At 45.1% G+C, this 12,901-nt stretch overlaps 1 pseudogene; it reads right to left on the bottom strand.

Moving 5' to 3' along the window:
- RPS5P4 (RPS5 pseudogene 4) lies at positions 5,547-6,097 on the bottom strand (annotated as a pseudogene).

Genomic DNA, 12,901 nt, shown 5'->3' with positions numbered 1-12,901 from the left:
AAGAGAGGATTTGAGTTTTTTAGTTACTTTCAAACATGAATACCTAAGAGTTTAGTTTACAGTGATCCCTTTTTTTTTTTTTTTTTTTTGAGACAGAATCTTGCTCTGTTCCCCGGGCTGGAATGCAGTGGCATGATCTCAGCTCACTGCAATCTCCACCTCCTGGGTTTAAGCTATTCTCCTGTCTCAGCCTCCTGAGAAGCTGGGACTACAGGCGCACGCCACCACACCCAGCTAATTTTTGTATTTTTAGTAGAGATGACATTTCACCATGTTGGTCAGGCTGGTCTTGAACTCCTGACCTCAGGTGATCCACTCGCCTTGGCATCCCAGAGTGCTGGGATTACAGGTGTGAGCCACCATGCCCAGGCAATCTTCTCCTTAGTAATCTAAAATGTTTAAATAATAGTTTATATTTGTTTCTATAACTCAATGGAATATATTGACCAACCCCACTGATCAGGTTGAAGGCTAAAAAGTTAACACTTGCTTATAAATGATAGATTAACTTCCTCTGTTAAAGTTATGGTTTTGATTATTTGAATAAGGAGATATTTGAGAGGCTAATATAAGGTGCCTGTAGACAGGGCTTTCTGTTACATTACGTTGTCCATCCCCACAGTGGTGATGGTTAGAATTATCTCATGGCCACATCCTATTTGGCTACTATCACCTCCGTTTCATTGCTTCTTGGATCACAGTCTCTTCAAATCACTTTTTTTTTTTTAGACGGAGTCTTGGTCTGTTGCCCAGGCTGGGGTGCAGCAGTGTGATTTGGCTCACTGCAACATCTGCTTTCCAGGTTCAAGCAATTCTCATCTCAGCCTCCTGAGTAGCTGGGACTACAGGTGTGTGCCACTATGCCAGGTTAATTTTTGTATTTTTAGTAGAGACAGGGTTTCACCATGTTGCCCAGGCTGGTCTCGAACTCCTGACCTCAGGTGATCTGCCCGCCTCAGCCCCACAAAGTGCTGGGATTACAGGCATGAGCCTCTTCAGATCTTAACTTGGCTTATGTTCCTTTGTGTGGTTAAGAACCTAGTCCATATGCCAAGCAGAGCACTGCCTGGCCTGGAACCCAGAGCTTCTTGGCATTTGTATTTATTTCAATAAGACATTCACTTTTTATTTGGTTGCCCTCTACTTCCACAGGAAGCTCAGATTCATAGAGAGCCAAAGCATTCTGATATTAGAAGGGATATGGATAAGCCAGCTGGCTTAAAACCCTATGTCAGTCAGGACTATATAGTAGGGCACAGTGTGGATAAGACTCATCAACCATGAGAAAATGTTAAAAATAATAAAAACAAACGACACAGAACTACAGCTAATTTTTCACTTCCCAAAAGGCAAATACCTAGCCAGGCAGTGGTGGCAGATACCTATAGTCCCAGCTACTCAGGAGGCTGGAGTGAGAGATCACTTGAGTCCAGGAGTTCAAGGCTGTAGTGTGCCAGGATCATGGCTGTGAATAGCCACTGCCCTCCACCCTGTGCAACATGGTGAAAGTCTGCCTTTTTTTTTTTTGACACAGGGTCTCATTCTGTCACCCAGGCTTGAGTGCAGTGGCATGATCATGGCTCACTGCAGCTGGACTTCCCGGTCTCAGATGATTCTCCCACCTCAGCCTCCTGAGTAGCTGGGATGACAAGTGTATGCCTGGCTAATTTTTGTATTTTTAGTAGAGATGGGGTTTCGCCATGTTGCTGGTCGTGAACTCCTGGCCTCAAGCAATCCGCCCTCCTCAGCCTCCCAAAGTGCTGGGATTACAGGCATGAGCCACTTCATCCGGCCTGTTTTTGTTTGTTTGTTTTAAAGCAAATACCTAGTGTTAATAACTAAAGGATTATCCTGGCACAGCTGTCATGGGCACCTGCAGAAGACATGAGGCTCCTGGTTCAGAGGCAAAGGATTTTACTACTTAGAGCACAGCAAGGAACACAAGCCTCTTGTTGGGGTCAGTTCCCCTTGCCCTCCCCCACTCCCTCAAGATCCATGGGGCGATGTGAAGATGTCCAGGTAGATGCCACACACGCAGAGGTTTTGCCTCATAGCTGAGGAATCCTGAGCTTAAAGAAACCCAACCTTTGCCCAGAAAGAGACATTATCTTCATTATAGTGGATGGTAAACAGAGCTGCCCTCTGCTCCAGAGGGAGTCACGATCTTCCAAAGAGATTACCTGAAACAAAGGTCGTCAGTGCTTCTGCTCCCTAGATGTGCAGAAACATGGGAGTCCTGTAGATAATTATCTCCCCACATTCAGAAGCTCAAATAAAGACTATCAAATACAGTATTATTTCTTTGGCTCTAGCTAGGATGAATAATAGGAAATAAACACATAGGTTTTGGTAAAGGCGTGTCAGGGTATGGACGGTACATTTCTTTTTCTTCTTTTTCTTTTTGAGACAGGGTCTCACTCTGTTGCCCAGGCTGGAGTGCTGTGGGGTGATCACCTCTCAATGCAGCCTCAACCTCTCCTGCTCAAGCAATTGCCCCACCTCAGCCTCCTAAGTAGCTGGGAAGACAGGTGTGCACCACCGTGCCCAGCTAATTTTTTTACTTTGGCTATGTTGACCAGTCTGGTTTCAAACTCCTGGCTTCAAGCAATCCTCCCACCTCAGCTTCCCAAAGTGCTGGGATTACATATGTGAGCCACCACACCCAGCTGGACAGTACAATTAACACATTCTCTAACCTCAGCTCTCTCCTAACCCTATCCACCCTCCCAGCTGTGTGCCTCTGGTTTTATAGACCTACTTGTGACTCTCTGAACTTGCCTTATTCCGTTACCTCCTCTCTACCTAACTTCAATTTGTGCAAGATTTAATTTGATAACACCTCCTTCTGGAAACCTTCCCTCACCCCTGATCCCACTGTTAAATTTATAGTGAACCCCAATTTTCTCTTCAAAGAATCAGTATGTTAGCATGTTTTGTTTGTTTGTTTGTTTGTTTGTTTGTTTTGAGACGGGGTCTCGCTCTGTTGCCCAGGCTAGAGCGTAGTGGCGTGATCTCGGCTCACTGCCAGCTCTGCCTCCTGGGTTCACGCCATTCTTCTGCCTCAGCCTCCCAAGTAGCTGGGACTACAGGCACCTGCCACAACGCCTGGCTAATCTTTTTTGTGTGTGTGTGTGTATTTTTGTATTTTTAGTAGAGATGGGGTTTCACCGTGTTAGCTAGGATGGTCTCAATCTCCTGACCTCATGATCCACCCACCTCAGCCTCCCTAAGTGCCAGGATTACAGGCGTGAGCCACCGCACCCAGCCTGTTTTTTTTTTTTTTTTTTTTTTTTTGAGATGGAGTCTAGCTTTGTCACCCAGGTTGGAGTACAGTGGCGTGACCTTGGCTCACTACAACCTCCTTCTCCTGGGTTCATGCAATTCTCCTGCCTCAGCCTCCTGAGTAGTTGGGATTACAGGCATGCACCAATACACCTGGCTAATTTTTGTATTTTTAGTAGAGACAGGGTTTCACCATATTGGTCAGGCTGGTTTTAAACTCCTGATCTCATGTGATCCACCTACCTCAGTCTCCCAAAGTGCTGGGATTACAGGCGTGAGCCACCACGCCTGGCTGAGTATATTAGTATGTTCAGCTCTCTTATTCTTTGATTCTCCATTTTAAAGCTTAACTTCCTGGTTCTCTTCACCCCCTTGCCTCTGGTTTCAGTAAACAACTCTCCCACCAGTCCTAGTTAGTAATTCACATCTGTTCCCCTGGTCACCTGCTTCATCCTGACTCATTCCGGTCACCTGCTCTGACCTGAGTCATGCCTGGTCACCCAGTCTGACCTAAGTCACCTTAGTTACCTGTTCCTAACCATCTTTCCCACCAAACTACTCACGCTGCCACTCCGGCTCGTACTCCTGCTCTTTTTAAAACAGCCAATCGGAATTAGCTTAGACTGTGCTGTCCAACCTAAGCCAATAGGGGAACGACACAGCAGTAGGAGCTACCTGCATCAGGAATAACTCCTTCCCTTCCCCTGTCCAGGTATGCTCTCACCATTGTTCCATCTGTGAAGGGCACACTTTCTGCAGAAAGTAAAAATTGCCTTGCTGAGAAAATTAAATTTATGTTGGAGTGCTATTTCTTTGCTGCACTGGGGAACAAGCATTTTGCATTTCTAACACCACCTTAGGCATTTTCTACTTTATCCTCCTCTATACACCCTACAACAGTCTCAGGCTAAAACCAGAAACTCAAAAGTCACAAGACAATATATCCATTGGGACTCTGACCTTACCTGAAATGGCAGAAAGTCCACATGCTCTCTACCCCCTCCCAGGAGTGTTTCATATCTGTCAATGCATGGGTTTCCTCAGTAGCACTAAATCACAGACACTTTCCTCCTTTTCTGCCCTGGCTCCCTGCAAAGCCCAAAGGCAGTCTGCTGGCGGAATTCCTTCTTGCTTGGGAAGGTCAGTCTTTTTCTATTTCTAAGGCCTTCGACTGATTGGAGGAAGCCAATCCACTTTACAGAGGGTAACATGCTTCACTCACAGTCCACTGATTTAAACGTTAATCTAATTTACAATATACCTTCACAGAAACATCTAGAATAATGTTTAACCAACTAGCTGAGTAATGTAGCCTCACCAAGTTGACACATCAAATTAACCATCACAGAAGCTGTCCCCCAAAATAACCCTTTACCTTATACTGGGGGATTCTCTGGCATCTGAAAGACCCAGGCCAATGCTCGTGATTCCCAATTCCCCACTCTCTGAATTCCACTGGGGTGGATGGACTCTGGCCTTGCCCGTGCCCTTGAGAACCAGAGAGGAGTAGAGGGGGCCCCACATGAAACTCATTATCCTCAGCTCTACCAGGTGGCTCAGGAAATCCACAGGGCAGCCTTGGTAGGCTTCTGGGAAATTTAGTAAAGAGCAAGGCTGACTGGCACTCTGGAGGAATTGTAAGAAATTTGCTATTTGTGGCTGGGTGTGGTGGCTCATGCCTGTAATTCCAGCACTTTGGAAGGCCGAGGCTGGAGGATTGCTTGAGGCCAGGAGTTCAAGACAAGCTTGGGCAACACGGCGAGACCCTGTCCCTAAACATAAATTAATAACATTTAAATAAAAACAAATTTTGTGTCTGGCTACAATGGCTCATGCCTGTAATCCCAGCACTTTGGGAGGCTGAGGTGAGATGATTGCTTGAGCTCAGGAGTTCAAGACCAGCGTGGGTAACATGGCGAAACCCTGTCTCTTCCAAAAATACAAAAATTAGCCAGGCATGGTGGCTTGTGCCTGTGGTCCCAGCTACTTGGGAGGCTGAGGTGGGAGGATGGCTTGGGCCAGGGAGGCAGAGGTTGCAGTGAGCCAAGATGGCGCCACTGCATTCCAGCCTGGATCGTCGCTCTGTCAAGTGAGACCCCATCTCAAAAAAAAAAAAAAAAAAAAAAAAAAAAAAAAAAACCCACACAGAAAAAGAAAACCAAATTGCTATTTTATTAACAGTTTTTGATCTTTCTTTCTCTTTCTCTTTCTTCTCTTCTCTTCTCTTCTCTTCTCTTCTCTCTCTTTTTCGTGGGGCTGCCCCAAAGGGCCTCACGAGCACCTGTGGACAACAGCCAGATGGCCTGATTCACACGGCACAAGGGGGACACTTCCACAGCCTGTGGTCTCACGGCCCAGGCTCGGCTCGCCCAATACGTATGGAGTCCTCCCGGGGACCACTGTTGATGATGGCGTTCACCAGGACCTGCAGAGAGTCCTCTCCTGTGAGCAGGTGAATGGTCTCGAAGGCATGCTTGGTGATGCGCAAGGTCACGAGTTTCTTGCAGTTGTTGCGGCATCATGGAGTGAGTGCGGCACTCCACAATGGGGTGCTGAGCTTTGCGGAAGCGTTTGGCGGCATACTACCCTGCACTGTGAGGCAGGTGCTTGGCATACTTCTTCACTGCAATGTAATCCTGCAGGGAAATGTTATTGATCTGCATGCACATCATGGGTGCTCCACTTCCCAAAGAGCTTGATGTCTGGGCTCTCTGTCCCCGCAGGTGCTATTGTCTCCCATTTGGTCCCTGAGGGCACAGCCTGAGCATCTCTATTGTTTGGCGTGGACCGCGTGCCGCCCTGGCACAGACAGGAAACTAGATATTTCAATGATCGTTTTTAGGCTTCTTAAATTACATCAATAATAAATGTTTCCATTTGGGTCCCAGATAAGAAAGTGAGAGGAAGCAGATTCAAATGACATTTGCATGTAGAGTCCTTCTATAGGAAGCTACTGATTTCAGAAGGCCCCTGTTAAAATGGGCTTCCCTGATAATATGTGTTAGTCAGTCCAGTAAATTTCTGTTTGGTGACAGTATTGCATTGGCAAGCTTTGTTGTGGTGGTAGAGGTAGCTGTGTGACACACCTCAAACCCAGAGAGGAACCTTGGGAAATGGGGTTATTGGAGATCTCTTGTGACCTTTGGGGATTGGGGAGAAGTTCCCCTAGGACTTGTTTTGTGTGGGGTTTTGTGCTACAATTTCACAGACTCGATTCTTTGTTTGATTCCAACGGGTGTATTCTTTCTGGTCAAATTAATTCCTGACTCCTGACTTTTCTTCTGAGTTTCCAACAAAAGGATTTTTTTTTTAACAGAGTCTTGCTCAGTCACCCAGTCTGGGGTTCAGTGGCTCGATCTCATCTTACTTCAACCCCCACCTCCCGGGTTCAAGTGATTCTCGTGCCTCAGCCTCCGGAGTAGCTGGGACTACAGGCGCACCCACCATGCCTGGCTACTTTTTGTATTTTTAGTAGAGATGGGTTTCACCATTTGGCCAGGCTGGTCTGGAACTCTATCTCAAGTGATCCTCCCGCCTTAGCCTCCCAAACTGCTGGGATTACAGGCATGACCACAACTCCCGGCCTCAACAAGAGGGCTTTTTATAATGACAGGAGTATTACATAAACAGTGAATTGTGGCTATTGATGAATTGCAAGGCATAACTACCCCTAAGGGTTTAATGGCTCAAGACCATCTCTGGGGTTGAGGTTAAGCAATTCCTGGAAAATTCAAAGTTCTTATTCCCTATCCTGACATTTTAAAATCAGGAAAGAAGCCTCAAAATACATGAAAGATGGGAGGGAAAGAGAGGAAGGTAAGTTTTGGTCTTGGGAATGGTGGAGTTTTGTGGACTGATTGCCTTCCCTATCAGTCAGAGTTTAGTTTCAAGAAACAGAAACCAACCTTGACTAATTTAAGCATACAAATTTATTAATATATTAGGTAGCTCACATAATCTCCAAGAGGGCCAAAAACCAGGTTTGTAGGTTATAGAGCTAGAAACAGTGCCCCAAATCAGGTCACAAGGCTGGTCCATGAAGACTCACTGCCTTGGGACACTAGATACAGCTACTAGGATCAGTGCCACCACTGCCTCTGAAAATGGGTGCAGCTGCTACTTCCCACACCAGCACAAAGTCCCATGCAGTTGGTTTCTTTATATTCCTGGCTTCTGACTCAAAATCTGGGCTGTGTACCTCTGATTGGTGGAACTTAAGTCATGTATTTGCCATAATAGTGAGGAACACTGGGAAAGTAAATATTTGGCATTTTCAGTCTCTAGGGTGGAAGATGGGTCCTGCCTCATAAAATGAGGGCTTTCTCACTTTATTATATGAAAAGTAGGCCCAAAATATTAAACAGTGTTCATTGCAGTGTATCCCTTGGTTGCCTCCAAGTCAATACATATCCTTCTTGCCATAAGAATTTAAAATGCTTTCACAAGTATGATCAGCATCTTCCATATCCTTCCAGTGTCTCATCCTTTAAATTAATTGGAATTTTGCTGCCTGGAGACCTATGCAGGCTATATAACCAATCCCAGATTTCCCTCTCTTCCTTCTTTCCTATTTTCCTTCATTTTCCTAAGGGTCTCTTGATGACAACTACTTCAGGGTATTGATTTTCTCATTAAACAGGGTTCTTAAAAATGCAAACATCATGACTGGGCGTGGTGACTCACACCTGTAATCCCAGCACTTTGGGAGGCCGAGGCGGGTGGATCACCTGAGGCCAGGTGTTCGAGACCAGCCTGACCAACCAGACGGAGAAACCCCGTCTCTACTAAAAACACAACGATTAGCTGGGCATGGTGGTGGGCACCTGTAATCCCAACTACTCAGGAGGCTGAGGCAGGAGAATTGCTCGAACCCAGGAGGCGGAGGTCGCAGTGAGCCAAGATCGCACCAGTGCACTCCAGCCTGGGTGACAGAGAAAGACTCTGTCTCAAGAAAAAAAAAAAAGGCAAGCATCAGAAACAAAATTTGGCTAATTTATTATTATTATTTATTTATTTATTTTTTTAACAGAATCTTGCTCTGTCACCCAGGCTGGAGTGCAGTGACACGATCATGGCTCACTGTAGCCTCGACCTCCTGGGCCCAAGCGATCCTTCTACCTCAGCCTCTCAAGTAGCTGGGAACACAGGCATGTACCACCAGGCCTGGTGAGTTTTTAAATGTTTTGTAGAGACCGAGTCTCCCTATGTTGCTCAGGCTGGTCTTGAACTCCTAGGTTCAAGTGATCCTCCCGCCTTGGCCCCCCAAAGTGCTGGGATTATAGGCACAAGCCACTGTGCCCAGCCAAATTTGGCTAATTTAAGCAGAAAAGGAATTTACTGAAGGATATTGAATAGTTCATAAAATTTCCAGGAGGGATGACAAAACAAACTCAAGCCAGTGTACAAGAACCATAGAGACTCCACTGCCACAGACACTGGGCATAGACTGTGTGGCTAACACACTGCCACCTTCTGCAAGCTAGCCTCAGAATATTGCCATTAAAATCCCTGCCACACTACCCACACTTGTAAGCATGGAGTAAGCTCAGTACTGGCTTTTTAAAATCAGTGTCCTGGTTGCAAGAGGGGCTGGAAAGTGATTACTTGGCAGTTTTAACTTCTATAGTGGGAAGCAGGTTTGCTTAATAAGGTGAGGCATTCCCCACACAAAGGGAACTCACATATGGGATGACCAAAAACAAAACAAAACAAAACAAAAACAACAAACCTGTCTAACGTCCATCCATGTGAACCGCAAGATCCCTTCTCCCTCCCTAATACTTCCCTCAGTTATTGCCTGTACACTCAGAGGCCAGCCCCCCAATTCAGAGTTCCTGATTTGCAATACTCTAAGGATGGCCTGTGAAGGATGTCACTTAAGCTCATGTAGATGGCAGACTGGGAGGCATTTGATATTTGGAAAACAGTGCTGGGATGGAAGTCAGGGTATTATAGTTCTAAATGTATCACACATTAGCTGTGAGAATTTATACAATTTAGTTAAATTACTTGAGCCTCAGAAGTAATCCACAGAAAAGTCTTGTACACACATTAGGCTCTTAACACTTTCTGTTCTTACATGCTAGGCAAGGTTCTCAACATGTACAACTTTTTTTTGAGACTGAATCTCGCCTTGTTGCCCAGGCTGGAGTGCAGTGGCACAATCTCAGCTCACTGCAACCTCCACCTCCTGGGTTGAAGTGATTCTCCTCCTTCAGCCTCTTGAGTAGCTGGGACCACAGGTGCATGCCACAAAGACCAGCTAATTTTTGTGTTTTTAGTAGAGGCAGGGTTTCGCCATGTTGGCCAGGCTGCTCTTGAACTCCTGACCTCAAGAGATCCACCTGCCTCAGCCTCCCAAAGTGCTGGGATTACAGGCGTGAGCCACTGTGCCTAGCCTCAATATGTATAACTTAAACTACTAAACTGAGAAATGAGAAGTTATTTGCACCATTTTTAATACCTAAGGCATAAATACTACAGATTTTCATGAATTACAGGAATGCTCACTAAAGAAGTCATCTTTTTTGGAGATATGTGTGTTTCAGAATTAGCCAAAGAGGAAGGGTTTCAGGAGGTCCTATTAGGATATTTTTGCTTAGAGTCCTATGTTTAAACTTGTAGCACTGGTAATCTTTGAATTATCTCATCTCTTTCCATTTTATCTTTTTTACTGACTCTGTAATCATCAGTACTGACGTTGTCATAATTTATAAAGGACAGTGAGATTTGCCTATGCTTGAAAAGCTAAGCTCTAACAAGCATAGAACAGTCTCTGGAAACCCTTTCTAAGTTACTCAGATCCTATAAATGAAATGAAAATTTACATATGCTGCTTTGAAGTATTCTGTCAAAAGCACAAAAGGGCAAGAAAGGGCAAAGGCAAGAAATTAAACTCTGAAGTATGAGTGAAGCTTGACCATGCAAAAACGGGATTCCCCTTCATGTTTAGTTTAGAAGGCGGGCTTGGAGAGGGGAAGGAAATGTGCAACAGCAAAGTACGGAGGGGATTACGACAGGAAAATAGTGAACCAGAGATAAAGAGCAAGCAGCAAGGTGATTAAATGAACTCTTAGTTACAAAATAATGAAAGAAAAGAGCCGATAACAATTCTTTAAAGAATAAGACAATTTCATCTGATTCTTACTCAAATAAAGACAAGAGCTAGAATAAGAGGGCAACCCATCTTTCTGGGACCCCTCTCTCATCCAGACAGCTTTCTTCCTTTTGCTTATTAAACTTCTGCTCTAACCTAAAAAAAAAAAATTAAAAGAAAAAAAAGAAAGAAAGAAAGAAAAGAAAAAAAAGGAGCTAGAATACAAACCATTTCCTTTAGTAAGGAAGGTCACCATATGCTGCGGCAGTGTGGCGAGGGAGGTGGCAGATCTCTTTTTGCCTTTCAGTTGAGGGGAGAGGGTGTTCCTATAGAATGCAGAAAGACTTGTTCCAGGCCAAAAGAGTTTATTCCTATTTTTCAGAATGGTTCAACATTAGGAAATCTCTGGATGGTATTTAGTAGATTTATAAGTTAAAGGAGAAAAATATGTTTCTCAAAAAACTGTGGAAAGGAGGCTGGGCTCGGTGGCTCACACTTGTAATCCCAGCACTTTGGGAGGCTGAGGCAGGTGGATCACCTGAGATCAGGAGTTCAAGACCTGCCTGGTCAACATGGCGAAACCCTATCTCCACTAAAAATACAAAAAATAAGCCGGGCGTGGTGGCGGGTGCCTGTCATCCCAGCTACTCAGGAGGCTGGGGCAAGAGAATCACTTGAACCCAGGAGGTAGAGGTTGCAGTGAGCCGAGATCGTGCCACTGCACTCCAGCCTGGGCTACAGAGTGGGACTCATTTAAAAAAAAAAATGTGGAAAGGTATGTGATATCCAATAGCCATTGCAGATTGAAAGATAAATATTTTTCTCTATTGCAGTCAGTTTAAGACTTACTGCCTCCATTCACTAATTTAAAAATATTTGAGGCTGAGCATGGTGGCTCACACCTGTAATCCCAGCACTTTGGGAGGCCGAGGAGGGCGGATCACGAGGTCAGGAGTTCGAGACCAGCCTGGACAACATGGTGAAACCCCGTCTCTACTAAAAATACAAAAAAATTAGCTGGTTGTGGTGGCGGGCACCTGTAATAGCAGCCACTTGGGAGGCTGAGGCAGGAGAATCGCTTGAACTCGGGAAGCGGAGGTTGCAGTGAGCCGAGATTGCACCACTGCCCTCCAGCCTGGGTGACAGCGTGAGACTCTGTCTCAAAAAAAAAAAAAAAAAAATTGAGAGCATATCATATTGCAGGCCTTGTTTCAGACTATGTAGAAGATGCAAAAACAAACTAAAATTGGTTTGTTCTCAAAAGGCTTGCAATTTCTAAAGATGGAAAACACATACACAGGTAGCTATAGTCAAAAGGAATATGTGAAAGTGTCAACGAACTGGTTTATAGTACTTTGTTCTACATTGCTATAGTGTTGCTGGAAAAGAGACTCCAAGAGCCAGTCCTTGGGTCTAGCACAGGGAAGAACTGGAGAGGAGTCACAGAGCACAGTGAAGGAAGAAAGTTTATTAGAACTACTCTGTTAGAGAGTAGTAAGTCCTCAGAAAGCAGGAGGAACACACTGTCCTTGGGTAGTGTCTCTACTTAGAAGAAACTGTAAGGAGCTATGATTAAACTTGGAATGTGCATATATGCTCACTAAAGGTCAAGGCTATTGGTGCTATAATGACCATTAATCCTTCAAACTAAGCCTACTCATTAATGTTATCTTTGAGTGAAGTGGGCTGCACTCAGGACATCTGGACATTCTGCAGGCTTAGTGGGAGATGTTCTGCATGACCATAATTTTTTTTTTTTTTTTTTTTTTTGAGACAGAGTCTCACTGTTGCTCAGGCTGGAATGCAGTGGCACCATCTTGGCTCACTGCAACTACCACCTCCCAGGTTCAAGCGATTTTCATGCCTCAGCCTCCTGAGTAGCTGGGATTACAGGCATGCGCCACCACACCCAGCTTTTTAAACTATTAATATTTTAGTAGAGACAGGGTTTTGCCATGTGAGCCAGGCTGGTCTCAAGCTCCTGGCCTCAAGCGATCCACATGCCTCAGCCTCACAAAGGGCTAGGATTACAGGTGTGAATATTTTGTAATTATAATACTTGTGGCTATTTTCAGACCTTAAGTATTAATATTATAACTGCCTTGTGAGAGCCTAGCTACTCACTTTAAGATGGGGTCACTCTAGTCATGTTTTCTTTTTTGTAGGGGGGTGGGGAGAGAGTCTTGCTCTGTCGCCCAGGCTGGAGTGTAGTGGTGCGATCTCGGCTCACTGCCACTTCAGCCTCCTGAGTTCAAGTGATTCTTGTGCCTCAGCCTCCTGAGCAGCTAGGATCACAGGTGTGTTCCACCACGCCTGAATGATTTTTTTGTATTTTAGTAGAGATGTGGATTTGCCATGTTGTCCAGGCTGGTCTTCAACTCCTGACCTCAAGTAATCCGCCTGTCTCAGCCTCCCAAAGTGCTGGGATTACAGGCGTCAGCTATTGTGCCCAGCCTCTAGTCATGTTTTATTAAACCAGAGGCCTGGTAAGCAGGGGTTCCTCTAACAATAGCACTTCTCACA

Source organism: Homo sapiens, chromosome 1 (genome assembly GCF_000001405.40).
Source record: "Homo sapiens chromosome 1, GRCh38.p14 Primary Assembly".
Classification (NCBI taxonomy): Eukaryota; Metazoa; Chordata; class Mammalia; order Primates; family Hominidae; genus Homo; species Homo sapiens.
The sequence above is the reverse complement of the archived record's forward strand: the minus strand, read 5'-3'. Positions and strand labels throughout refer to the sequence as shown.